The following is a 26,015-nucleotide window of genomic DNA, read 5'->3' on the forward strand; positions in this document are numbered from 1 at the left end:
CCCTCTGGAGGAGTACATGCTTCAGAGCAGGGATGGGCTTGGGCTGGCTCCTGCTCACAGCCACTTCGCCGAGACTGCTAAGTTCTGAGGTGTGAATATTCCCACTATGGCCAATTTCAAGCTACCAAATGACCTAACTGAATGTGGAGGTGGAAGAAATGCACAAAATCATGTAAAGGTGGTACTAGTCAGTCATCGGGGAGATGTAAGTCAGAGCCACAGTGACTCCCACTTTACATCCACTAGGACAGCAATAACAATAAAAACAGAAAAACACAAGTGTTGGCAAGGATGTGGAGGAATTCAACCTTCATATATTGCTGGGGAGAATGTAAAATGGTACAGGCATTGTGAAAACAGTTTGGCATTCCTCAAAATGTTAAACATAGACCCAACAATTCTATTCCTAGGTATATACTCAAAAGAACTGAAAATGGATATTCAAACAAAAACGTGTACATGAATGTTCATCGCAGCACCATTCAAAACAGCCAAAAGGTGGAAACAACCCGAATGGCCATTGTGGATGAATGGATAATCAAACTGTGGTACCGGAATATTCAGCCTTAAAGAGATGATACACTGGTATACGCTACAATGCAAATTAACCTCAAAACTAAGCTAACTGAAAGAAGCCACACATAAAAGATCACACACATATTACATGCCTCCGTTTACAGGAAATATCCAGAACAGGTAAACCCACAGATACAAAGCAGATGTGGTTGCCATGGGTTGGGGGAGGGGAAACAGGGTGTGACCACGAATGGGCACAAAACAGGGTTCCTTTTAGGGCAGAGAAAATGTTTTGGAACCAGAGAGAGGTGATGATTACACTACATGTAAAGGTAGTAAATGGCACTGAATTGTGTCCTTTAAAATGGTTTTATGTTTGAATTTATTGCAATAAAAATGAAACAAATGAGCTATCAAGCAATGAAAAGACACAGAAGAACCTAAAATGCATATTTCTAGGTGAAATAAACCAATCTGAAAAGGCCAATACTTTATAATTCCAATATATGACATTCTAGAAAGGGCAAAACTATGTAAAAAGATCAGTAAGCACAGGCAGACGGACAGGAAGAGTTGAATTGAAGCACAGAAGATTTTAGGGCAGCAAAACTACTTCGTATGACATTGTAATAGCTGATACATGCCATTATCCATTTGTCAAGATCCACGGAATGTACAACACTGAAAATGAGCTGTACTGTAAACTGTGGGCTTCAGACTAGTATTAAACATATCAACTCGGGCTCATTAGTTGTGACAGACATAGCAAAGGAAGTTGTAAGAAGGGATGTGGGGGCTCTGTATTATCTGCTCAATTTTTCTGGAAATCCAGAATTGTTCTAAAAAATGAAGTCTATTAATTTAACTAAGTGAAACGGAAATAAATACCTTTCCAGACAAAAATTGAGAAAATCCATTGCTAGTAGACTTGCACTAAAAGAAATACTAAAGTAAGTTTTTCAGGCAGGAGGAAAATCATCCCAGACAAAACGTGTTAACAGTAAGAAGGAAACAAAGACCAAGGGAGAGCACCTCTGTTCCTCGTCCCGATGACTCTCACAGATCAAAAACGTTTTAAAAATATACGTTCCTCGTCCCGATGACTCTCACAGATCAAAAACATTTTAAAAATATACGTTCCTCGTCCCGATGACTCTCACAGATCAAAAACGTTTTAAAAATATACGTTCCTCGTCCCGATGACTCTCACAGATCAAAAATGTTTAAAAAATATACGTTCCTCGTCCCAATGACTCTCACAGATCAAAAACATTTTAAAAATATATGTTACTCAGGCCAGACGCGGTGGCTAACGCTGTGATCCCAGCACTTTGGGAGGCCGAGGCAGGTGGATCACGAGGTCAGGAGACAGAGATCATCCTGGCCAACATGGTGAAACCCTGTCTCTACTAGAAAATACAAAAAATTAGTCGGGCGTGGTGGTGGACGCCTGTAGTCCCAGCTACTCGGAAGGCTGAGGCAGGAGAATGGCATGAACCCAGGAAGCGGAGCTTGCAGTGAGCCAAGATCGCGCCACTGCACTCCAGCCTGGGCGACAGAGCGAGACTCCGTCTCAAAAAAAAAAAAATTATATATATATATATATATATATATATATATATATATATATATATATATATATATATATGAAATAATATACCTTACTCGTCCAGATGACTCTCACAGATCAAAAACGTTTTAAAAATATATGTTACTCGTCCCGATTACTCTCACAGATCAAAAACGTTTTAAAAATATACATTACTCGTCCCGATTACCCTCACAGATCTAAAACATTTAAAAATATACGTTACTCGTCCCGATTACTCTCACAGATGTGAAACATTTAAAAATATATCACAGTCTGGCTGTCACCTCCTAACGTATTTAAGAATGCTAACAGTATATAAACTTAAAACACCCAGAGAAACTCCCACTGGCTAACAAGGTGGTGGCTTATTCACTTGCATTGGTTTTGCTCTTCTAGAAACAGTAACCTGCCACCACCCTGGTGTCTCTGGTGCCTTCTGCAAAGCACAGGTTTTATGGGCTGGGCCCAGCTCCCAGGGCACTGAGTATGGCCAGGCGGGTACACCTGACTTGTACTGGGGTGACTGCAGGGTCTCTCAGACCTTAGCTCCTCCTCTGAAGAGCGGAAATGACATGCAATTCTCTTGGGGTTGTAAAAATGACTAGATTAGATGGTGCCAAATCCCCAGTTCCTCCCCTACTGCCATCAAGAGAGAGGAGAGAGCAGAGAATGCAAGGGAGTGCACAGACCTCACAGGTCAAGGGCTGCCTTGCTCACCTCTGACATTAGCAGAGCTTGTTTCCTTACCTGTAAAACAAAGGTGGCGGGTTAGCTGTGAGGTTTAAATGACTTCCATGTAAAGAGTTAGAAGAGAGCCTGCAATGAGTGCTAAGCACATTCACCGTTTGTTTTCTCACGGGTTTTCTGTTACACTCCTCCGAGTGCAGAGAGGCAGCTCCCTTGTGAAGCTATCCACACGGTCTTCCGCCTCTCGCTTGCCTGTCTCCTGTCTCTCCAGGGAGGTGCTGGCTGCTGTTGGGCTGAGTCCTCTTGGAACTTCCTTGGGTTTCTTACACCAACATTAAAGACTGAAGTAATCTCCCACCGCAGCCCCAGCCTCAAACTACTGCTCCTATTGTTCCAGCCATCATTTCTACACCCTGGGGTGGTTGTTCACATTCCTGGCTCACTCATCTATCTTCCTTCCTCCCCAAAGCTATTCCCCTGACATTCAGGCACACTCCTTCCCCCTCATGCTTAGATATGTGTCCCCAGTCCCTCTGGATATCCCTGCCAAATGTATCTTGCTAAACCCCCCTTTTAAATTGGGACACATCCCTCTAGTGGATATCTGGATGCTGCCCTGTGTCTAGGGATCAAGCCCAACTCTTCCACTTGTGTAACTTATGGTGCTGCTTCCTGTGGTCATCTCAGTTCCCACAGTTCCTAACCCTTCTTCCCACTGCACAGCTCCTCCTCATCCCACCTCTGAAAGACCACATCCAACCTCAGACACCAGGACTACAGCCAAAAATGGAAAAAAACCTTAGTATTGAATCCAAGATGTGATCAATTATAAGCTGCACCATCACTTTATGTGCCACTAAGAGCACAGTCCATTAACAGTGATACACCCTTGTAAAATAAATCTGATTTCTGAGATGTTACGGCACGGGGAAAGTGCTGGAACTAAGCCTTCCTGGCTCCTGAATACTCCAAGAAACAGGGTAGTGTGGGAAGCTGAGTAACAGCCCTCAAAAGATGGTCACGTCCTAATCCCTGGAATTTGTGAGTGTCGCTTTATATGGCAAAAAGAACGCTGCAGATGTGGTAAAATGGAGGATCTTCGCTGGTGGAGGACTATCCATAAGGCCCTAAATGCCATCTCCAGTATCCTTAAAAACGGAGGAAGTCCAGCCTGGGCAACACAGTGAGACTCCATCTCTACAAAAAATGTTTAAAATTAGCTAATTAGCTGGGTGTGGTGGTACAGGCCTGTAGTCCCAGATACTCGAGAGGCTGAAGTGGAAGGGTTGCTTGAGTCCAGGAGGTCGAGACTGCAGTGAGCTATGATCACACAACCACACTCCAGCCTAGGTGCAAACAGCTCACTGCAGCCTCAATCCTTGTCTAACGAAAAGAAAGAAAACAGGGAGGAACAGAGATTTGACAAAACAGAAAGCAGAATGGCCCCATGAGGATGAAAGCAGCTGCCAGCTCTGAAGGGAGAAGGGCCTGCAGCCATGGAATGTGGCTGAGAAGCAAGAAAAGCAGGAAAAGCTTCTCCCCAGGAGCCTCCAGAGTGCACACCCTGCCCACCCCTCAGTTTTAGCCCAGAGGAACTGATTTCCAACTGCTGGCCTCCAGAACCCTTAAAAGATAAGAGTGTTGTCTGAAGCCACCAAGTTGATGGCACTTTGTCACAGGCGCCCTAATGCACCAACCATGTCATCCTTTCCCTCCTGCTCCAGTACTCACGTTGACATCTACGGAGCATTTCTTTTAAAACTTTGCTTCACACACAGCACCATTTGTGATTAAGTAAAATCAATTCTTTCTACTAGTTACTGGATAAATTCCAAGATCTTTATATGTGTGAAAAAATAAGTAGGAAGAGTATTGTTACTTTGTATTGGATTACATTTGGAGTTTCGGTTTCAAAAGTCTAGCACTCAGATATTAATGTAGACGGTGTTAACAAATTTTAGGTACGCACTTACTAGCCATTTAAAGATTTGTAGCACAAATGAAATAAATTAATGATCTCAGTAGGCAATTCACTTCTAATTGTGTATAAATATCAACACCAGCTTTATATAACATTTTACAAATTGGGTACAAAGTATAAACCAAAAAGAAAATTCTAAGCTCCCAACTATCTGAACAGCTCCTCCTCTCTGCCAGAGGCATTCCAAAGTTAACCTGTAAAACTACTTCAGGCCACGATGAGGGGGTGGGGCATCGGACACACCTCATTACCATGACACAGACTTAAGACTGACAGAACTGACAGAAGAACTGACAGACTCTTTAAGTCTGACAGGAAACATTAACCATCTATTCTCTCTGAAGCCTGCTACCTGGAGGCTTCATCTGTACAATAAAACCTTGGTCTCCACAAGGTAATCCAGACATTCCTTTATATTGATTCCAGGTCTCTAGACAGTAACTTAACCAATTGCCAATCAGAAAAATCTTTGAGTCCAGCTATGATCTGGAGCGCTCCCCACACCAACCTGCTTCCAGGTGTCCCACCTTGCTGAACGAATGTACCCGCTTCCAGCTGTCCCACCTTTCTGAACCAATGTACCTGCTTCCAGGTGTCCCACCTTTCTGAACCAATGTACCCACTTCCAGGTGTCCAACCTTTCTGAACCAATGTACAGCTTACATGTATTGATTGGTGTCTTATGTATCCCTAAAACTTACAGGTCAACCCCCTTGGGCAAATGTCTTGAGACTATGTCACCAGCATCCTTTAAACCTGGCAAAATAAAATACTAAATTAATTGAGACTTGTCTCAGATACTTTTGGTTTACAGATTAAACTAAATGCTTTAACAAATATATAACAAAGTTTCATAAGAAAATGGAAGGTGAAAGTATCATTCAGATTAATAATTTTAGCAATTTGATACTGGTTCTCAAAATGTGAGCAGCATAATCAAAAACTAGCATATAATAGGTACTCCAGTATAATATTTATGGCATGAAGTTAGATAATGTTCTCCCAAATCACTGGATTTATTTTCTACAGATCTACCTTACTCTGGGAAACTTAAAACATATCAATCCCTCAGACAGGAAACAACTCCACATATAATACACGTTAAAATTAAACTATTACAACTGACCCCGAAATAGGATGTGCACTTTCAAATCCCCACTTTTTAGTCACTAACCAGCACTTATTCACAAAAGGAAGTTAATGAATATTAGAATAATTAAATGTTATATGTACAAAATGTAAAATTAACTATCATTATCTATGGCATCAGGATGACTCCTGGAAGTGGAGTCAAGAAAGATTAGCCATGTCCTTGGAACAATATTTGTTTTAAGGAAGATACAGAGCAAATCAAGGCAAGGAAGAGGAGTGCCACTGTAGGCTCCTTGGATATTATTTTAGGGATATACAGAGAGGAAGAGAAAGTGAAATTTTACGGCACACATACTTGCAAGTGTTAATAACAACAAAGCATTATGGTAGATAAATTCTTAGCAACAGCGTAAACAAACCACGGTGGAACAGAAACAAAGAAAAACCCCAGGGCTCATCTGTTCCATTTCAGCAGAGGTGGGGGAGGGAGGTGGCAAAGGCCACACCAGGACTTGCCTGCAAGCGGAGCACTGGTCACAGCTGGGCATCTCTGGGCCTGTGACTCAGACGGCTGACCCGAGGACATGCCTCCCTGCCCGCCCATGTCCAGTGTGTTCACTGGCCTCTCCGCATTCCAGCCTCACAACCACAGCACAGAGTCAGGCTCAACCCCCATCAAACCAAAGAGGAAACAAGGTTCTAAGAGTTGGACCTGACTCACCCAAGGGCAGGGAGTTAGGAAGGGGTGGGTCTCAGGGCGCAACCCACACCCACCAGAGCCAGAGCCTGAGCTGTGGGCTCTGCGAGACGGTGGGAGCCTCAAAGCTAACCAGAGGCCGGTGGCCACACCTCAGCACACCCCACAGAAGGGCAGCCCCACTCGCACGGGCCCTGGCCACATGACTGGTCATGTCCAGACAAGGACACACCAATTCAACAAATCATCATGGGAACCTCAAAGTAGCCATTACTCAATTGTGCTACACGAAACCATGGCAGTTAAAAATACTTGTAACTGTTAGCAAACTTTAATATACCAACACAGCACAGGGGAAGAAAAGCAATCTGAAGTTGTGACTCATTATGGAGGGAATGCTTTCTTCCAAAGGTTATTCAGACAAAAAGAGATAGGGATAAATCCTCTGTCTTTTAACAACATACCATGCAAAAACAAACACTGCCTTCCAAGGCCAGACTTCTGCTTACAAAATTATCATGTCTAATGAGTTCAAAAATAATTCATATATCCTAGACACAGATCTAATAAATAGCTCAAGTAAATACGTTTTCATAACTTAAAAAGAGCAGAAAATTAAATATCTCAAATTCTATTTTTAACTCTTCTCATTATATCATATCTCACAATCTAGTTTTTCAAATGTCTATCAGACATCATTTAAATAAAGTCTGGTAGCTTCATAAGACAGATGATACTGCAATAGTCAAAGTCATATTTCTGAAGAATAACATACTATCCATAATATAGCATTTAAGAAAGGAGGATACTATACACACCCATATATCCAAACATATCATTAAAACATTAACAAAATCCACGGAAATGTTGCCAATGTAATGTTATCACTAGTTAGTAGAATTGCAGGTAACGTTTTTCTTCTTTATTCTCCTCCAAAGCTTATTCTTCAATGAGCATACTTTCTTCTTTAAATCAGAAAAAAATGTTTTTGAAACCTGTCTAGCCATAACATAAGAAATGAAGAAAAATACAACTACATGTTCATTAAATATAGAAAGATAAAGGGGGACTTCACCGTGTAACTGAACAAATTAAAAAAAAGAAACTCAGTTTCAATGACAATTTTACAAGTAATAAAGAAAGCATAATGAAAACCATCATATTAGTATTTCCACATCTGCTGTTGGTGTGGTTATCACTAATTCCAGCACGCAATCACCAAGCACAAAACTGAAGCTGTTATCCGAAAGGACACTGCTGCTGCAATACACAAGTGCACGTGGGATGTGCTTCTTACTTTGTACTGATACTTTCATCTAGACACTGCCGTAATCCATTAAACCCCATTCAATTTATACTTTACTAGCAACTACCATTATGGATGGTTTGGTATTATGGATGATCTTTTAAATATATTTTTTCTTGGATTTTAAAAAAGTGAACATGTATTATTTTTACTAAAAGAATGGGGGAGAGTCTAGAGAGATATTAACAAATGGATAAAACATTTCAATTACAAGGAATGAGTTCAAGAGATCTATTGTACAACACTGTAACTATAGTTAGCAACAATATAATATATTCTTGAAAAAGTCACTAAGAGTAGATTTTCTAGTGTTCCACCACAAAAAATGGTAAGCCCGTGACATAATGCATTTGTTAATTAGCTTGATTTAGCACATTCTACAATGTATACATATTTCAAAACATGTTGAACACAATAAAAATAATACTTTTATCAGATAAAAAAATAACAACAGCCAGGTGCAGTGGCTCACGCCTGTATTCCCTCCCAGATCTTTGGGAAGTAGAGGCAGGAGGATCGCTTGAGCCCAGGAGTTCAAGACCAGCCTGGGTAAGAAACCTCCCTTCTACAAAAAATTTTAAAAATTAGTGAGACGTGGTGGCGCATGCCTGTAGCCCAAGCTACTGGGGAGGCTGAGGCGGGAGGGGTGACTGAGCCCAGTAGGTTGAGGCTGCAGTGAGCCATGATTGTGCCACTGCACTCCAGTCTGGGCAACAGAGCAAAACCTTGTGTCAAAAAATAAATAAATAAAAATAATTGAAAAAAACCCACCAATTCATACTATGACTAATGCTAGGATTAAACAGATTTGCTGTGTTATTGCCGGCTGGTAAATTTCTGAGTTTAAGGCCTTGTCTTACACACATTTTGTGTCACTAGCACCTAACACAGTACCTAGAACATAGCAAATGCCTAATAAATGTCCATAAATTCATCAAGACTCATTTTTAATGCTTACATATAAATTGGACTAGTTTCTTAAAATGCGATCCAGGAAAAAATTCACAAAAATAAATAGTTTGCTTTAACAAACATTATAGAACTTTAAAAACAGTTAAGAAAAATAAATGAAGAAAAGAAATTAGTGACAGGAAGAAAGACTCTGGAAAAACCTCCATAAATAAAACATGCTTTATGGAAAAAATGATCCCATGCAAAAGACAACTACTAACATATTCACCATCTGTGTAAGAACTATGCCCCACCCAATTCCAAAAGAACAGGAGGTGACTCAGTGTTCAAGGAACAATAAGATCATTGAGAGTAAAAGAAGATCGCCTATTTGAAGAAAAGTGTGATGGGTACTCCCGGCTATTACAGTAGTACAGGGCCCAACAATCCAGCAATAATTTTGGCTGTGAGTTTTCTGGTAGCTACAGCAAGAATAGAAGTATACTGCATTACACAGTAGCTTTCCTTTTCTGATTTCACAAGCTTAGATCTGAACACATCACTACTTTCACCCCCATCATGTCCAAACTCTGTCTTAAAAGCACGACAGTAATCCCAGCCACGTCCCTGCATCCTGTAAATCAGAACTGCCCTGAGGGCCTGGGCCAGCCATCCAGAAGGAGCACTTCTACTCCTCCCAGGTCATGGGGACCTGGGCTGGGGTCTAGTGGGACCACTTCCTTTCCTCACTGCTGGGCCCAGAGTAAGTCCCAAGCTGAGTGCAGCCTTCTACCAGGTGGAGGAGTTACAACCCTATCAGAACTTCCATGCATTTCCCTCCAGATGAGACGGCCCAGAAATCTGCCTTTGCAACTGTCCTCCACACGGCCGCTCGCGCTGTTGCCACTGAACGTAAGGCCATGCCCTTCAATAAGAGTAGAATCTCTTCCCTAGCATGTCCGTAAATTTATAACACGCCCCCTTAGTTACCATCAAACCCTCCCTGCTCCTTTCTTCTGAGCCACCGTGACACTGGAGCCATCACCACAGCCCGCCTCCCAGGTGCTTCTTCTAACTACTCTGAGCAGAGTGTAAATATGAAGACAGGATGATTTCTTACACTTGTGTTGGCACAATCATCTGCATAGAGTGGGTCCTTACATCTCTAAATGAAGAAATAAAATTCCTCTGAGACAGAATCGTCATGAAAACTAAAAAAGATAATGACTTGCCAAACCATAACAAAATGCAAGAGACGACAAAAGACCACAATGTATTCTATAATACATGATAAAATTATGTTCTGATAGAATGTACCCAGTATGAAACAAACCAATCCATAAGCTAAACTACTCAAACATATGTGATGATTATATACTGATACCTTGAATCACAGTTAAGACTTTGGAATAACTCACGGAAAAACAGATTTCGGTTTTTTATATTTTTGAAGCATGATTTCTATTGCTATGCAATTAAAATTAATATTTGTTTAAGCCAATATAGTATAGCATCCGTGTTTAAGGGACTATTAGAGGCCCGAGGTGGTGGCTCACACCTGTAATCAGAGCACTTCAGAAGTGCTGAGATAGGAGGATCACTTGAGCCCAGGAGTTTGAGACCAGCCTGGGCAACATAGCAAGACCTCGGCTCTACTACAAGTATAAAAAATGTTCAAATATATAAAATTAAAAAATAAATAAAAATAAAGTAATATTAGAGCTGGGTACAATGATTCACACCTGTAGTCCCAGCCACTCAGGAGGCTGAGGCAGGAGGATCCCTCAAGCCTAGGAGTTCGAGGCCAGCCTGGGGTAACACAGTGAGACTCCAGCTCAAAAAATAAAGTACTATTAGGTTTAAGTTAAAAATATTTACCTAGTTTTTAAAATTCATATACCTAACCCTTTCATTAACTCTCCTTTAAAATGTAAATACCCCCAAACTTAAGTTAGAACAATATTCCTTAAAAACTTTTACAGTTTTAGCTAGAATTCCGTAAGCAAAGGTGTACCTCACTTTGCACTATAACTGACCACCTTTTCATCCATTATTAAAAGAAATTCAGGCCAGGCATGGTGGCTCACGCCTGTAATCCTAGCACTTTGGGAGGCTGAGGCAGGCGGATTGCCTGAGCTTAGGAGTTCAAGACCAGCCTGGGCAACATGGTGAAACCCTGTCTGCACTATAATACAAAAGAAATTAGCTGGATGTGGCGGTGTGCGCCTGTAGTCCCAGATACTTGGGAGGCTGAGGCAGGAGAATTGCTTGAACCAGCGAGGCGGAGGTTGCAGTGACCCGAGATGGTGCCACTGTGCCCCAGCCTGGGCGACAGAGTGAGACTCTGTCTCAAAAAAAAAAAAAAAAAAAAAAAAAAAGACATTGGATTTTTTTTTTTTTAGAGACGGACTGTGGCTCTGTCGCCCAGGCTGGAGTGCAGTGGTGCGATCTCGGCTCACTGCAAGCTCCGCCTCCCAGTTTCATGCCATTCTCCTGCCTCAGCCTCCCGAGTAGCTGGGACTACAGGCGCACACCGCCACGCCCGGCTAATTTTTTGTATTTTTAGTAGAGACGGGGTCTCACCGTGTTAGCCAGGATGGTCTCAATCTCCTGACCTCGTGATCCACCTGCCTTGGCCTCCCAAAGAGCAGAGATTACAGGTGTGAGCCACCGCACCCAGCCCTGATGTCTATATTTTTTAACAGTGCTATTGAGACATAATTCACATACTCGTCAATGCACTCATTTAAAGTAAACAGTTTGATGGTTTTTAGTATATTCAGAATGTCTACTTCAAGGTTAAAGGCTGTGACCAATGTGGAAATCATGAAAGCCTACAGAAACGATCATAGGTTCATTAGGTCTAACAATAACACTATTCCATAACTGATCTTCACAGGATGGAAGTTTACATTTATGAATACGTACTTATAAAATATATTATGTTTTAAGTGTATATATCCATATAAACTATTTATATTTCAGTCCTAGCTCTATACCCTCCCATCCTTAAATGTAGAATGATAATAATATTAATCTTAAGTAGAAATTTTACTAAATCCACAACATACAGGCTGATGGATTGCATATATCCTAAATTTAAATCTATTTTTTAGCTTAAACTAAAAACCTGATATTTACTGCTTTATTTTTAGCCATCTTGGGGCATTAATGTTCTAACTGAAGGAGGTTCTCAGACCACAGAACTGAAGCAACAACGGTCACATCCTTTCCCTTCTGTGTCTCAGCCGCAGTGTGGGTGTGAACAAGAAACCCAAGCAGCATCCTCATCCTATCTGCAGCTACGATGAGGACTCCAACACTTCCTCAACCACATGACCACTCGGATTCAGGTGCTGAAGAAGCACTTGTTTAAAATAGCTAAATTGTGGCTCCTGAATTAGCTATGCCAACTATTTTCAGTTACAAGTCTTCACAATATTTTATTAAAGTATTAAGTCAATGATTAACACTGAGAATAAAAAAATATTTGCCCTTTCTTTACATGAGATCACAGTGCATTATTTTCTTCTGTTCATTTAGTTCTTAGACTATACATACCATATTTTTGCTAGAGTTAAATTTTCCTGAACTTCCCAGAAGGGCAATGGGAAGAAAGCTCTCCCCAGAGAAAGTTTGTATACAAAAGTACAGAACAACATAACCAAGGAAGCTAATATGCTTTAATTCTCAATAATCCAAGTATGAGGGTAATAAAAGACCAACTGTCAGAACAGTTAAGTAGTATTATCCGTGACAGTATTATCCATAGCAGCCATACAATCAGCATTTATTGGCAATAGTAAAAGCAGGATAGAGTCAGACTTTATCCTATGAAGAGATAATATTTTCAAATAAATAAAAATAGTAATGAAAAATTGCCCTTATTAATCTCTATAAAAACTCTTCAAGAATCTTCCTCACAGCCCTGAGCATGGTGGCATGCAACTGTAATCCCAGCTACTTGGGAGACTCACGTAGGTGGTTCGCTTGAGCCCAAGAGTTGAGCCCAAGAGTTCAAGCCTGGGGAACACAGCGAGAACCGCCTCTCTTTAAAAAACAAAAAAGGCTGGGCGCGGTGGTTCATGCCTGTAATCCCAGCACTTTGGGAGGCCAAGGCTGGTGGATCACCTGAGGTCAGGAGTTTGAGACCAGCCTGGCCAACATGGTGAAACCCTGTCTCTACTAAAAACACAAAAATTAGCCAGACGTGGTGACGGGCGCCTGTACTCCCAGCTACTTGGGAGGCTGAGGCAGGAGAGTCGCTTAAACCCGGGAGGCAGAGGTTGCGGTGAGCCGAGACCATGCCACTGCCCTTCATCCTGGGCAACAGAGTGAGACTCCGTCTCAAAAATAAATAAATAAATGAAATAATAAATAAATAAATCTTCTCTTCTTCACCCAGGGTAGTCTAATGGTCCAGGGCCCATTACCACAGGGTAGACACTTAAACAACAAAAAGCCCTGTCCTCAATTCATCCAGCCTGCCAGGCCTTTCCCCTAAGCAGTTGGAACATAACTGTTCATGGGAAAAGAAGTGAAGAATAACAACACTGTTTATATTAAAGCTGTAGGACCAAACTTACAGAATTATCACAGTTAAGTGAGAGCCATCTGTCACATCCTAATAGCCTCAATCAGGAACAGTACATATAGTTTCTCAAAGTATTAATACTCTTATCTCATTTCCATATCCAGCTTCAGTTTTTACTCAGTAAGAAGAAAAGCTGTCAGTGAATATATACAAAGGTGAGGTGAGGAAATTAGTATCTCCTTAATTCATGTTTTCCTATGTTTCCACTCTGCCATGAATTCACGGTTGTCAACGACACACTATGAAAACAAGTACAGCCTTTGGGATGTACAGATACATCTTGTTCAAGGCAAAATACCAGTCCAAAGTTCAGAAACCCCAAGCACCAATGTATGTATGGTAAAAATCAAGGTACTAGTAATATTGGCCAGGCATGGTGGCTCACACCTGTAATCCCCACACTTTAGGAAGTCTAAGTGGGAGGATGCCTCGAGGCCAAAAGTTTGAGACCAGCCTGGACAACGCGGTAAGAACTCATCTCTAGAAAAAAAAAAAAACAAAAACAAACCCAAAGTGCAAGTAATACTGAAATCTTAACTTTTCTTATTCATAGTTTCTTCTATTATTGATGTGCTTTGACCACCCCCACCACCCCTGCCGCGCAGCAGAATTTCAGGCACACTTCGAGACCATGCAACCTGCTGGTTTTATTATGAAAATAAAGTATATTACACTTTTAATAAATATCACAAAATAGATACATAAGTATAATTTAAAAGATATTTTTAAAATCTCTCTAAAACTGTCAACATAATCACTGTCAAGTTTCATGTGAATCCTTCAAGAAGCGTCTTAAGCATCCTAGGCACACTGAAGTTTACACATGTGGGATTATGAGCTCAAGTACAAATTTGGAATAAACAAGTAAAACATTCTGGAGAAAATATAAATTCTTCATGAGGTGAACACCACAGTTCATCAGTTTAAGTCACACAGATTAAAAACTTGAAAAGAATCTTTGGCTAAATTACTTTTGTATTTTTTTTTTTTTTAAAGAATTTCAGGCTGGGCGCAGTGGCTCACACCTGTAATCCCAGCACTTTAGGAGGCTGAGGCGGGTGGATCACGAGGTCAAGAGATCGAGACCATCCTGGCCAACATGGTGAAACCCAGTCTCTACTAAAAATACAAAAATTAACTGGGTGTGGTGGTGTGCGCCTGTAGTCCCAGCTATTCGGGAGGCTGAGGCAGGAGAATGGCTTGAACCCGGGAGGCGGAGGTTGCAGTGAGTTGAGATGGTGCCACTGCACTTCAGCCTGGCAACAGAGCGAGATTCCGTCTCAAAAAAAAAAAAAAAAATTTCAGTTCTTCAATAGGGCAGCAATTTCATCTGTACAGTCTGTGTGGCCGGGCGCGGTGGCTCACGCCTGTAATCCCTGCACTTGGGGAGGCCAAGGCAGGCGGAACACAAGGTCAGGAGTTTGAGACCAGCCTGGCCAACATGGTGAAACCCTGTTTCTACTAAAAATACAAAGATTAGCTGGGCGTGATGGTGCACGCCTGTAATCCCAGCTACTCGGGAGGCTGAGGCAGGAGAATCTTTTGAACCCTGGAGGCGGAGGTTGTAGTGAGCCGAGATCACGCCATTGCACTCCAGCCTGGGCAACAGGGAGAGGCTCTGTCTCAAAAAAAAAAAAAAAAGAAAAGAAAAAGAAAATCTGTGTTTCACAAAGATTTTTAACAAGCAAATTTGATATTAGCCAATAACCAAGTATCTATGAAAGTCAGCATCATCACTTCCTGCAAATTTCAGCACTGATAACATTGCTATGTTATCAATATAACATAGCAATGGATGCTAATGGACTCTGTTTTTAGCTACTTTTTAGTATTATGCATCTTAGTGTAATATAGACACAAAACGTCACTTTAAAGTCCTTTTCCATTTCCAAAGTGCACCTCCTCTGTTCTTAGTTTTCCCCACCTCGGTTCCTCTTAACTTCCTTTTTCTACACACCCCTCGGTTTTTCCCGCCGCTAGCTAAAAGCTGCACCATGCCAGTTACCTTGGTTCTCCAAATATGACTCCCTCATGCTCACCACGCATCGGCAGAACTGTACATTCCCAAGCTCCTTACATTATATTCTTACTCCAGTTGCAATATGACGTCACAAAGTAGCATCTACTACCTTCTTCTTGTCTTGGGCACGCCTCCTTTCTAATTCTTGTTTGCCATCTGTGTCATGCCTTACTTCTCAGGTGTCTCATGACTGGAAACAGGGACTTTTCTCCTCTAAGAGAAAATGACCCTTCCGAAACCCACTGCTGGTCACCTTCACCCCAAAGTTTATATTAAGCCTAATGGAAGAATCATTAAAATCCTTTCTTGCAGTGTGAAACTGTGAAGCCAAGTCATGGCTAAGAAAGAATTAGGGAATGACAAGAAAAAGATTTGAAGCCAACTCTTCGTGTCTATAGTCCATAAATATACGAGGTAGAGAACTGCCGGGTTAAAAATAAAATAATACCATGACTCTTGTTATTGCTGCAACTCTTCCAAAACTTCCTGCCACACACACACACATTCACACTGGATTCAGGTCGATCCCATATAAAAATGCTCAGTCTCACAATTATACTTGCAAAAAAACTGAAACAATCTTTCAATTATCTAATATCTCCACATCTTTCGAGAGACACTTACTGCCCTTGAAATGCGTCAGAAACAACCAAGACACGAGTGCGTCTTCTCCCGGTAGAAGAAAAAGTTAACTTCTCCCCCACCAGCTGTCATTACGTTTTTTAAAAAACAGAGAGAAGGAAAAGCTGAAGCCACCCGGAGCATTTCCAGGCCGGCAGGGCTTTGGGAATGCGCACGAGAATCGCGCTGGGCGCTCTGAGAGCAGAACCGGCCGCTCAGGCCCCTAAGGAGACCCCGCGGGCGGCACCAGGAGGAAGCGCGCGCTCCGGGCAGGGCCGCGGCCGAAGAGGGGGCGCCAAGCCCGGTACCTGCCGCTGGCGCTCGGGGTCTGCAGGCCGGGGGAGGGAAGCGGGCTTTGTGAAGAGGGGTCTCCGAGAAAGCCGCGCGGGACGGCGAGGGGAGGCTTCACGAGGGCAGACGCGCCCCGGACCCGGAGCCTGGGCGGGCGGGGAAGCGGAGAAGGGGACGCCCGACTTGGACGGAGGGAGGGCACGGAGCACTCAGGACTAGGGCGGGAGCGGCGAGCAGCGGGCGGCGGCCCCAGGCGGACAGGTTCGCAGGGAGTGGGCCGGAGGCCGGGGCGGGGCTGGGGTCTGCACTCGCCCTAGCGGGCAGGTCGCCAGCAGGCTGGGAGTCGGGGCCGGGGGGCGGGGCGGGGTCTGCACTCACCTAGGTTGGCAGGTCGCAGGAACCGGCCCGGGGGCCGGGGCTGGGGTCTGCACTCGCCCAGGCGGAAGGGAAGCGCCTGCCTGGACCGGGGTGGGTGGGGGACTACGAAGGCGGGAGCCGGGGCAGGGCTGGGGTCTGCACTCACCCAGGCGGCAGGTCGCGGGGAGGGGAGTGCCTGCCTGGACGAGGGGAGATCGGGACTGGTGGTCAGGGGTCGGGACGGGCAGGGGTCTGCACTCACCCAGGCGGGCAGGTCGCAGGCGCGCACCCCCAGGCGCACGACGCGCTCCTCGTCTTCCAGCAGCGCCAGCGCGCGGCACAGGCGCAGGGCCTTGAGGCCGCGGCTGCGGCGACACCAGGCGAGCAGCGCGAGCGCGAGGAGAACCCAGCTGAAGCTGAGCCCCAGGTAGCCCAGCGCGTACACGGGCAGCAGCAGCGCGAAGCTCCGCGCCAGCTGCGCCAGCAGCCCGGGCAGCTCCACGCTCAGCACGCCCCCGGGGTTCTCAGGCGCCGCGCGGCCCCCAGCCCCGCCGGCGCCCGCCTCCGGGCCCTCGCCCCGGGCGCCGCTCATCGCCCCGCAGTGCCGCGCTGCCCTCCCGGCCGAGGCGGGCTGGGTGCTCGCGCTGATCCCGGGCGGCTCAGCCCCGCGCCAGCGCCCCTCTGAGGGGACGCGGCTCCGCCGCACGCCCGCCTCCGCCCGGGACGGTGGCGTCATCACGCGGGGCGGGAGCGGCGTGGGCCTGGGGCTGGCACGTCACCGGGAGCGGGCGGGGTGGATACTGACGTCATCGCGCGGGGCGGGCCGTGGGCCGGGTCGGAGACTACTGGAGTGGGCCGGGCAGGCGCACGACGTCATCACGCGAGCGTTGTGTCTCGGCTGGCGGGAGCCGGGGACGGGAAAGGAGAGTGCTCGGTGCGTGGGCTGGGCGTGCCTGCGTCCCCTCGAGCCCCACGGGGCACCCTCCCCACTTGCCTGTGGCCTCGGAGCCCGCGGGCGGTTTTGGCTCGGCGTCGCGCCCCGAGGCGGCTTCCGGGTGCGTGGCTGCGCTCGCCGAGGCCCGGGAAGTTGCCGTCGTCAAACCCAAAGGCTGACCGCCTCTGGGAGCTGCTGGCAAACGTGGGGGTGCGCGGCCGCTGAGCGCAGCCGGGGTGGCGGTGGGATGAGAGGGCGGCGTCCCTGTTTGCGGTCATTTTGCGGCCAGGAGGACGGGTGAGAGGGCGCCGCCCGCCGGAGGTCGGACGGGCGCCGCTGGCGGGAGTCCTCCGGTATTTTTCGGTGTGAGGTTGCCTAGCCAGTGTGCAAGGTTGTGGCTTTTGCGGAGTCTCTCGGGACGGTCTTGTTATCGGGCATTCCGGCGTGAGAACGCTGCCTCTGGGGCCCTTCCCACCCTGCTTGTCAGGGTTTTAAACACAAACGACTCCGTTGTGACCTTGACAACTCTCACACAGTTCAGTTGGCTTTTAAGATGCCTTTAATCCCAAAAGTCCTCCCTGAGGGGTCTGGTAGTGCCGGGCAAAGACCACCGCAAGCGCCCAAGGGACGCTGTTGACACTCGGGAACTCCACCCCGGGCACCACGCAGCTTCGCCGAAGGTGTTAATATTGTGGCCAACTATGAATAGCTGTTTCAAACGACTAATTTTGGGCCTTTCCTGTGATTCCTGAGGTCACTTTTCAGTTAACTCAAAAACACAACTATTGATCACTTTACTTTCCAGTGAATTCAATCGAGTTAATTATATTTGTTCTGTAGTTTCTTTCAAGGAAACTCCAAGCCAAACAGTAGCAAAGAACATCCTACTTGACTGTTTTTGAGCATATTCAGTGAATTCCAAGGAAATTTTTACTGAATTTGTAACAGAGTAGGGCACTGGCAGGTACTGAATGAATAAACAAATGCCCAGAAGAAGCAGGGTCACCTTTACATAGGAATCTGTCTCCCCTCGTTCCTGCGTCTTCATAATTTTGTGTGCATATGTATGTGGAGATTATATCACATATGTAAAACATTGCAGAGTCTAAACTCTCAACTCCAGGCAAGGGCAGTAAACCCCAAGCAAGGAATGGAAGTGGTTTCCCTTTTCTTACTCTTCACAGTCCCTGGTTTGCTGCAGCAACAAATTATATTATGTAGATTGTAAATATGCAACCGGTTAATGCTCCTAACACCACCTTTCATTCAAAACTAAGCCTCAACACAAAAGCAAGTAATTGCTTTGTTGACACAGAAAGGAGCCTGAGCCTTTCTTTTGCAGCTTTCCTCTACTGGAAAATTGTAGGATCACATCCTACAAAGACTTGCATAAACATAAGCCACGTAAAAAATTCTGTAATCCCAGCACTTTGGGAGGCCGAGGAGGGCAGATCACGAGGTCAGGAGATCAAGACCATCCTGGCCAACATGGTGAAACCCCGTCTCTACTAAAAATAACAAAAAATTAGCCGCGCATGGCGGCGCGCACCTGGAGTCCCAGCTACTCGGGAGGCTGAGGCAGGAGAATTACTTGAACCCGGGAGGCGGAGGTTGCAGTGAGTCGAGATCGCACCACTGCACTCCAGCCTGGGCGACAGAGCAAGACTACGTCTCAAGAAAAAAAAAAAAATCCTGTGCCATGTGCCATCCAGTGGTTGACCCAAGGATGTAAACTAGATTGAAGAGAAGTTTCCATGTTGCATACCAGTCAGCCCAAGTGTCCTCAGCTTCCCTCTGTGTGAGCCCCGGGTTTCCAGCCCCTCCCTGTGGTTAATTGCCTGCAGAAAGCAGATCCTAAGGCTCTGCCACAGCTCAGTCTTACAGGTGTCTGGTCTGACTGCAGGTCCAGCTCGGCTCTTAGATTTTTGCTAATATTATACCCCTCAATCTCCTGTGACCTTTCATGACCCCTCCATCCTTTCCTTCTTGTAGACAAGGAGAAGTGCTGCTTTCTCTGGAGTGTCATTCCGAGTGCTCCGGTGCACAGCTGCGAAGTTCCAGCCTTCCTGGTTTCAGAGGAAAGTGCTATCTTGTGCTTAGGTTCAACTCTTCCTGCTTTTGGGTCCTCCCCCACACCTCTAAATACGTCTCGTTATGGAGGGTGGGAGCACGTGCTCTGCATCTCTTCAATTTGGAGGTTATACCAGCAAATTAAATATACTGGGGACAGTGAAAGCCAGGTTTCTTGCTGTTGGAGAAGGTAAAAACATGGAAGAGGGAAGGCTAAAAAGAACACTGAGGGATTGGATTGGAACTGGAAGTGGTAGTATGAACTCATTTTTTTAAAATATGTATATACAGATAGATATAAAGATAGCTGTATGTGTGTGCACACATGTGTAGGTATATGTGCATATAAACACAGAAATAGTTTCTAGTTCTGTCTGCTGAGTATCTAGATGCAATGGTACCCCAGTACCAGTGATCACAGCTAGCCCCCAGATCTTATCTTCTAAATAAGGTTTTCCAACAAAAGGAATCAGGGCTCTTTGGAGAAATGGTTAATTTCAGGGCTGGAGTGGAAGTACAAGATGATCCTGGAATAATTTTGTTGTTCAAGGAAGTGAAGAAGTGCTCAAAGATTGACAGGAGATCAAAGGACATGGAAAGTAGTTGGAGGGAGTTCTTGCTGGCGAAATCTAGGACAATTTGAGCAACAAAACAAAGAATGATATTGGCAGATTACCACTGAGTGAGCAAAATAGAAACGCATGAGTTGAGTCCACACTGATGTAGATCAACAAACCAGTGATGAATGCAGGGAAAATAATAGTGGAGAAGGGGAGGTTCTTCTTTACAGTAGAATGTGAACTCATAAATGGAGAAGGAATTATGAGAATGGAAATAACCATTTACCAATCACTGTAGTGGGGTTGTTGCAGGAGTGAGAATGGAAATAACCATTTACCAATCACTGTAGTGGGGTTGTTGCAGGAGTGAGCTATCAATGGAGGCTCAGGGTGGTAGGTGGAGATTTGATGAGGAATGAGAATGGACATCTTTCTTCAGCATACTTTTCCATTACAAAGAGGAAAATTGAGACTTTCTGGTGGGAAACACCAGCAGACACCAGCGTGGCCAGGTAATGAGACACCTGTCACCAGTGGAGAAAAGTTGAAACTGAGTCCCCGTGCACTGTGCTGAGAAGAGCACAGCAGCACGCCTGACACTTTTCTGCCAGAAACCACAGCCTCAGTCTAGCCTAGGGAATATCAGATAGACCCAGAAGGAAGGCCATTCTGTTTTCTTTATTACTGTCATGAGCCAGGAACAGTGGCTCACGCTTTGGGAGACTGAGGCAGAAGGATCACTTGAGGCTGGGAGTTCGAGACCAGCCTGGGCAATGTAGTAAGACTCCATCTTTACAAAAAAAAATCTTAAAAATTGCCCTGGCATGGTGGCACGAGCCTGTAGTCCCAGCTACTAAGGCTGAGGCAAGAGTATTGCTTGAGCCCAGGAATTCAAGGCTGCAGTGAGCTATGATTGCACCACTGCACTCTAGCCTGAGTGACAGAGGGAAACCCCTTCTCAAATAAATAAATTGTCATAAGAGACAGGATAAGACTAAGAATTGTTCCAGATTATATGAGACTGAAGAGACATAACAACTCCATGCAATGCATGTTCCTGGGAGGTCCCAGACATGGGAAAAGAAGTGTGGGCACAGTTGGTGAAGCTTGGGTGGGGTCTATGGGTTGGACAATGTATTGATATTGATTTCTCCACTGGGAAGGTTGTGTAGTGGAGGTGATCCTTGTTTTTAGAGTATTTGGGGGTGCCGTGGTTTGAATGTGTCCCTTCCAAAATTCAGATGTTGAAACTGAATGGCCAAGGCCAGGTGTGGTAGCTCACCAGTAATCCCAGCACTTTGGGAGGCTGAGGCAGGAGGATCGCTTGAGCCCAGGAATTCAAGACCAGCCTGGGCAACAATGGGACCCCCATCTATACAAAAAATTTAAAAATTATCTTTGCATGGTGGCATGTGCCTGTAGTCCCAGCTATTCAGGAGGCTGAGGTGGGAGGATCATTTAAGCCCAGGAGATCAAGGCCGCAGCGAGCTCTGGTCACGTCACTGCACTCCAGCCTGAGCCACAGAGCGAGAACCTATCTCAGAAAAAAAAAAGAAACTTAGTGGTCAGTGTGATGGTATAAGGAGGTGAGACCATGAGGTGACTAGGCCATGAGGCTCCTCCCTGTGGATGGAGGTAGTGACCTTGCAGACGAGGCTTCTGGCCAGGTGAGCACTCAACACTCCTCCCCTCACCAACAGGGTGCTGTCTTGGAAGCAGAGGATCCCTCACCAGACATCAAACCTCTTGGTATCTTTTTTTTTTTTTTTTTTTGAGATGGAGTCTCGCTCCGTCGCCCAGGCTGGAGTGCAGTGGCGTGATCTCAGCTCACTGCAAGCTCCGCCTCCCGGATTCACGCCATTCTCCTGCCTCAGTCTCCCCAGTAGCTGGGACTACAGGCGCCCACCACCATGCCCAGCTAATTTTTTGTATTTTTAGTAGAGACGGGGTTTCACTGTGTTAGCCAGGATGGTCTCTATCTCCTGACCTCGTGATCTGCCCGCCTCAGCCTCCCAAAGTGCTGGGATTACAGGCATGAGCCACTGCGCCCGGCACCTCTTGGTATCTTGATCTTGGATTTCTCCGTCTCCAGAATTGTAAGAAATAAATTTCTGTTCTTTATAAATTACCGTATCTCAGGTAGTTTGTTATAGCAGCATGTGGGTGAAGGATTACCTAGGTGCCGAGGCAAGAGACTGAAGGCACAAAATGTTTCAGTATAATAAAGAAAATAGAATAAGAATAGTTATAATACAAATTAGATATAGAGATGAGCATGGGCATTATCAATCATTAGTATAAACATTATTAATCATTAGCTTTTACTATTACTCTTTGTTGTATTACTCATATTACCAGGAATAACTGGCGGGTATAGGGTCAGGTACTGAAGGGACATTGTGAGAAGTGACCTAGAAGGCAAGAGGTGAGCCCTCTTATCACGCCTGCTTAAGGGCCGCTTGAGGGGTCCTTGGTCAAGTGGCAATGCCAGTGCCTGGGAAGGCACCCATTACTTAGCAGAACGTGAAAGGGAGTCTCCCTTTCCTTGGAGGAGTCAGGGAACGCTCTGCTCCACCAGCTTCTTGTGGGAGGCTGGATATTATCCAGCCCTGCCTGCAGTCATCCAGAGGCCTAAACCCCTCCCTGTGGTGCTGTGCTTCAGTGTTCACGCTCCTCGTCCACTTTCATGTTCCTTTTGTACTCCTGGTTCCTCTTTGAAATTTGTAGTAGATAGCGGTAGAAGAAATAGTGAAAGTCTTAAAGTCTTTGATCTTTCTTATAAGTGCATAGGGGAAAGTGCTGACGTTTGCTGCCTTCCCTCTCTGGTTCGGCTACCTAAAAGGGAATGGCCCCCTGTCCCATGATCACGTGACTTGCTTGACCTTATTAATCACTTGGACGACTCACCCTTCTTACCCTGCCCCCTTATCTTGTATGCAATAAATATCAGCGTGTCCGGCCATTCAGGGCCACTACCGGTCTCCGCGTCTTGGTAGTAGTGGTCCCCTGGGCCCAGCTGTTTTCTCTTTATCTCTTTGTCTTATGTCTATTTCTTACAATCTCGTCTCTGCACACGGGGAGAACACCCACTAAGCCCCGTAGGGCTGGACCCTATAGCAGCACAAAATGGGCTACGATAGGAAGTGATAAATAATCATATTTGAAGCTCTTAAATGATTCAGAAAAAGACTAATGATAATGAATGTCTGTGTGTAGATAGATGATAGAGAAAAGTGGAGCAATGTGTGAGGCTAGCAGTGGGAATCTGGGTGGTGGAGATAAGAGAGTTTTATTTTTGTTTGTTTGTTTGTTTACTTTTTTTTTTTTGAGATGGGGTCTCGTGGCCAGGCATGGTGGCTCATGCCTGTAATCCCCGCACTTTGTGAGGCCGAGGTGGGTGGATCACCTGAGGTCAGGAGTTCAAGACCAGCCTGGCCAACATATTGAAACCTCATTTCTACCAAAAATACAAAATTATCTGGGTGTGGTGGTGCGCTCCTGTAATCCCAGCTACTTAGGAGGCTGAGGCGGGAGAACCACTTGAACCAGGGAGGCAGAGGTTGCAGTGAACAAAGATCATGCCATTGCACTCCAGCCTGGGCAATAAGAGCAAAACACCATCTCAAACAAAAAAAAAAAAAAGAGGTTTTGCTATGTTGCCCAGGCTGGTCTTGTACTCCTGGGTTCAGGCAGAGTCCTCCCACCTTGACCTCCCAAAGTTCCGGGGTTACAGGTGTGACCCAGCCAGAGACAAGGGAGCTTTTTATACTTGCATATGTTCTCTAAGTTTGAAATTATTTCAAACAATTATTTTTAAAGCCCATATTTCCATCAAATGGCCAATTAAAAATGCATATTTGATTGAATCTCTTCCCTGCTTATAAAATATTTCCTTTTCTGAAGGTATGAAGTTAAAGCTCCTTAGTGTGACAGAGCTTTTCAAAATGTCACCGGCCTTGTCTGGCCGCTATTCCAGCCACTTTCCTATGTGGTGTCATGCTGCCAATTATTCTCAAATCATGGGATACGGTTTGGATGTTTGTCCAAATCTCATGTTGAACTGTGATTCCCAGTGTTGGAGGTGGGGTCTGGTGGGAGGTAACTGGATCATGGGGGTGGGTCCCTCACGAATGCTTTTGCACCATCCCCTCGGTGATGAGTGAGTTCTCACTCAGTTAATTCACATGAAATCAAGTTGTTTGAAAGAGTCTAGGACCTCTCCCTTCTCTCTCTTGCTCCCCCCTCACTATGTGACATGCCTGATCCCACTCTACCTTCTGCCATGGGTAAAAGCTACCCGAGGTCTCACCAGAAGCTGAGCAGATGCTGGCACTATGCTTGTACAGCCTGCAAAACCCTGAGCCAATTAAACCTCTTTATAAATTACCCAGCCTCAGCTATGTCTTTACAGTGACACCAAACGAACTAACATACCATCTCTGTGCCTGGACCATTCTTCTTCTAATCCTGTTGGTGAACTCCTGTTCACATTTCAAAGTCCAACATGTGGGTGTCCACCTCTGGGACGGCTTTTGTGGAGTCTTCCTCCCCCGAGCAGTCATCTCTGTACCTTGTGCTCGTCACTGTGATCACCTTTTCTACTGAATACAGCTCCGCTTCTCTGGGCTTGTCTCTTTTTGGAGATGCTGGTCCTCAGGAGCCCCAGCGGCTGCCCTGTGCGTATGTGGGGGATCCCCCGTATTCTTGGGGGAAGTTTGAATTTGATGGTACATATTAGAGTCCCCAACTAAGGCCATATGTCAAGTCACAAGCTCCATTTTAGTTTTTATCAGTAGTGGAGATGATATTGTGCATAGCTTAGCAAGTGCCAAATGCATGGGTCCTCCACTTGGGTCTCGTAAGTTGAAGCCAAGGTGTTGGCTGAGCTTGTTCTCACGTGGAGCTCAGGATCCTCTCCTAAGCTCATTTAGTGCATTGGCAGAGTTCAGTTCCCTACAGGGCTGTAGGACTGAGGTCCCACTTCATGCTGGTTCTTGGCCTTCCATGTGGCCCCTCCACAGGCCTCTCGCAACATGGCGTTTGCTTCGTCTTCTTCCAGGACAGCCCATGTGTTCTCTCTGACATGTTGGCTTTGGTTTTTTAAGGTCAGGCCCGCCAGGATCATCTCCCTTTTGACTAATTCAAAGCCAACTGATTAGTAGACTAATCACAGGAGTGACAGCCCATCACATTCACAGGTTCTGCCCACCCTCAAGGACAGAGGACTATCAAGAGCATGGACCACAGGGGAGACTTCTGCCTGCACAACCTCGTAATTGGTAGAGAGAAGAAAGGAGCATTGACTGGCCCTCTGAAATTCCAAAAAGTACTTCAATTATGGTTTTTCTGTAATAGTGAATAATTTATAAATTTATAAAACAGGGTTATAATTTTATCATTCCACACATTTTCATCTTTCCTAATTGCTTATAATTCAGGTAATAATGTACAATCCCCATAATAACATTATTAATAACTATTAGTACATTCTCACATGGCTATAAAGAAATACCTGAGATTCGGTAATGTGTAAAGAAAAGAGGTTTAATTGGCTCACAGTTCCTCAGGCTGTACAGGAAGCATGGCGGCTTCTGCTTCTGGGGAGGCCTCAGGGAGCTTCCAGTCATGGCAGAAGGGAGAGTGGGAGCAGGCATCTTATTGGCAGGAGGAGCAGGACCTAGAGAGAGGGGGAAGGAGCACCACACTTTTAAACAACCAGGTCTCACGAGAATGCACTGTCCTGACACAGTACCAAGGGAACGGTGCGAAATGATTCAGGAGAAACTGCCCTGTGAGCCAGTCACCGC

At 45.3% G+C, this 26,015-nt stretch overlaps 1 protein-coding gene across 6 annotated transcripts in view, besides 9 other annotated features; it reads right to left on the reverse strand.

Annotated features, from left to right (window-relative positions):
- ESYT2 (extended synaptotagmin 2) overlaps nt 1-17,327 on the reverse strand; it is a 98,513-nt gene extending 81,186 nt beyond the window's left edge. For 4 of the 6 annotated variants that reach the window (XM_024446846.2, NM_020728.3, NM_001367773.1 and 1 more), the window contains exon 1: nt 16,907-17,327. In XM_024446846.2, the coding sequence (XP_024302614.2) occupies nt 16,907-17,236 (330 nt within the window). In that variant the 5' untranslated portion in view covers nt 17,237-17,327. Of the gene's footprint in view, nt 1-6,383; nt 6,488-15,999; nt 16,839-16,906 lie in introns of those variants that run through there. The other 2 variants (XM_047420659.1, XM_024446847.2) reach the window with 2 other exon arrangements.
- Nucleotides 2,896-3,190: a silencer, noted in NCBI's record as "tiled region #8416; K562 Repressive non-DNase unmatched - State 14:Gen5'". NCBI's record gives its function as "represses a minimal TATA promoter and a strong SV40 promoter by Sharpr-MPRA in K562 cells {active_cell/tissue: K562}" and the evidence as "EXISTENCE:reporter gene assay evidence [ECO:0000049][PMID:27701403]".
- Nucleotides 6,234-6,393: an enhancer, noted in NCBI's record as "active region_26931". NCBI's record gives its function as "activates an Ori minimal core promoter by ATAC-STARR-seq in GM12878 lymphoblastoid cells {active_cell/tissue: GM12878}" and the evidence as "EXISTENCE:reporter gene assay evidence [ECO:0000049][PMID:35858748]".
- Nucleotides 16,101-16,170: an enhancer, noted in NCBI's record as "active region_26932". NCBI's record gives its function as "activates an Ori minimal core promoter by ATAC-STARR-seq in GM12878 lymphoblastoid cells {active_cell/tissue: GM12878}" and the evidence as "EXISTENCE:reporter gene assay evidence [ECO:0000049][PMID:35858748]".
- Nucleotides 16,291-16,490: a silencer, noted in NCBI's record as "silent region_18869". NCBI's record gives its function as "represses an Ori minimal core promoter by ATAC-STARR-seq in GM12878 lymphoblastoid cells {active_cell/tissue: GM12878}" and the evidence as "EXISTENCE:reporter gene assay evidence [ECO:0000049][PMID:35858748]".
- Nucleotides 16,571-16,620: a silencer, noted in NCBI's record as "silent region_18870". NCBI's record gives its function as "represses an Ori minimal core promoter by ATAC-STARR-seq in GM12878 lymphoblastoid cells {active_cell/tissue: GM12878}" and the evidence as "EXISTENCE:reporter gene assay evidence [ECO:0000049][PMID:35858748]".
- Nucleotides 16,711-16,900: a silencer, noted in NCBI's record as "silent region_18871". NCBI's record gives its function as "represses an Ori minimal core promoter by ATAC-STARR-seq in GM12878 lymphoblastoid cells {active_cell/tissue: GM12878}" and the evidence as "EXISTENCE:reporter gene assay evidence [ECO:0000049][PMID:35858748]".
- Nucleotides 16,951-17,050: a silencer, noted in NCBI's record as "silent region_18872". NCBI's record gives its function as "represses an Ori minimal core promoter by ATAC-STARR-seq in GM12878 lymphoblastoid cells {active_cell/tissue: GM12878}" and the evidence as "EXISTENCE:reporter gene assay evidence [ECO:0000049][PMID:35858748]".
- Nucleotides 17,141-17,870: a silencer, noted in NCBI's record as "silent region_18873". NCBI's record gives its function as "represses an Ori minimal core promoter by ATAC-STARR-seq in GM12878 lymphoblastoid cells {active_cell/tissue: GM12878}" and the evidence as "EXISTENCE:reporter gene assay evidence [ECO:0000049][PMID:35858748]".
- Nucleotides 18,181-18,290: an enhancer, noted in NCBI's record as "active region_26933". NCBI's record gives its function as "activates an Ori minimal core promoter by ATAC-STARR-seq in GM12878 lymphoblastoid cells {active_cell/tissue: GM12878}" and the evidence as "EXISTENCE:reporter gene assay evidence [ECO:0000049][PMID:35858748]".

Source organism: Homo sapiens, chromosome 7, assembly GCF_000001405.40.
Source record: "Homo sapiens chromosome 7, GRCh38.p14 Primary Assembly".
Taxonomy (NCBI): Eukaryota; Metazoa; Chordata; class Mammalia; order Primates; family Hominidae; genus Homo; species Homo sapiens.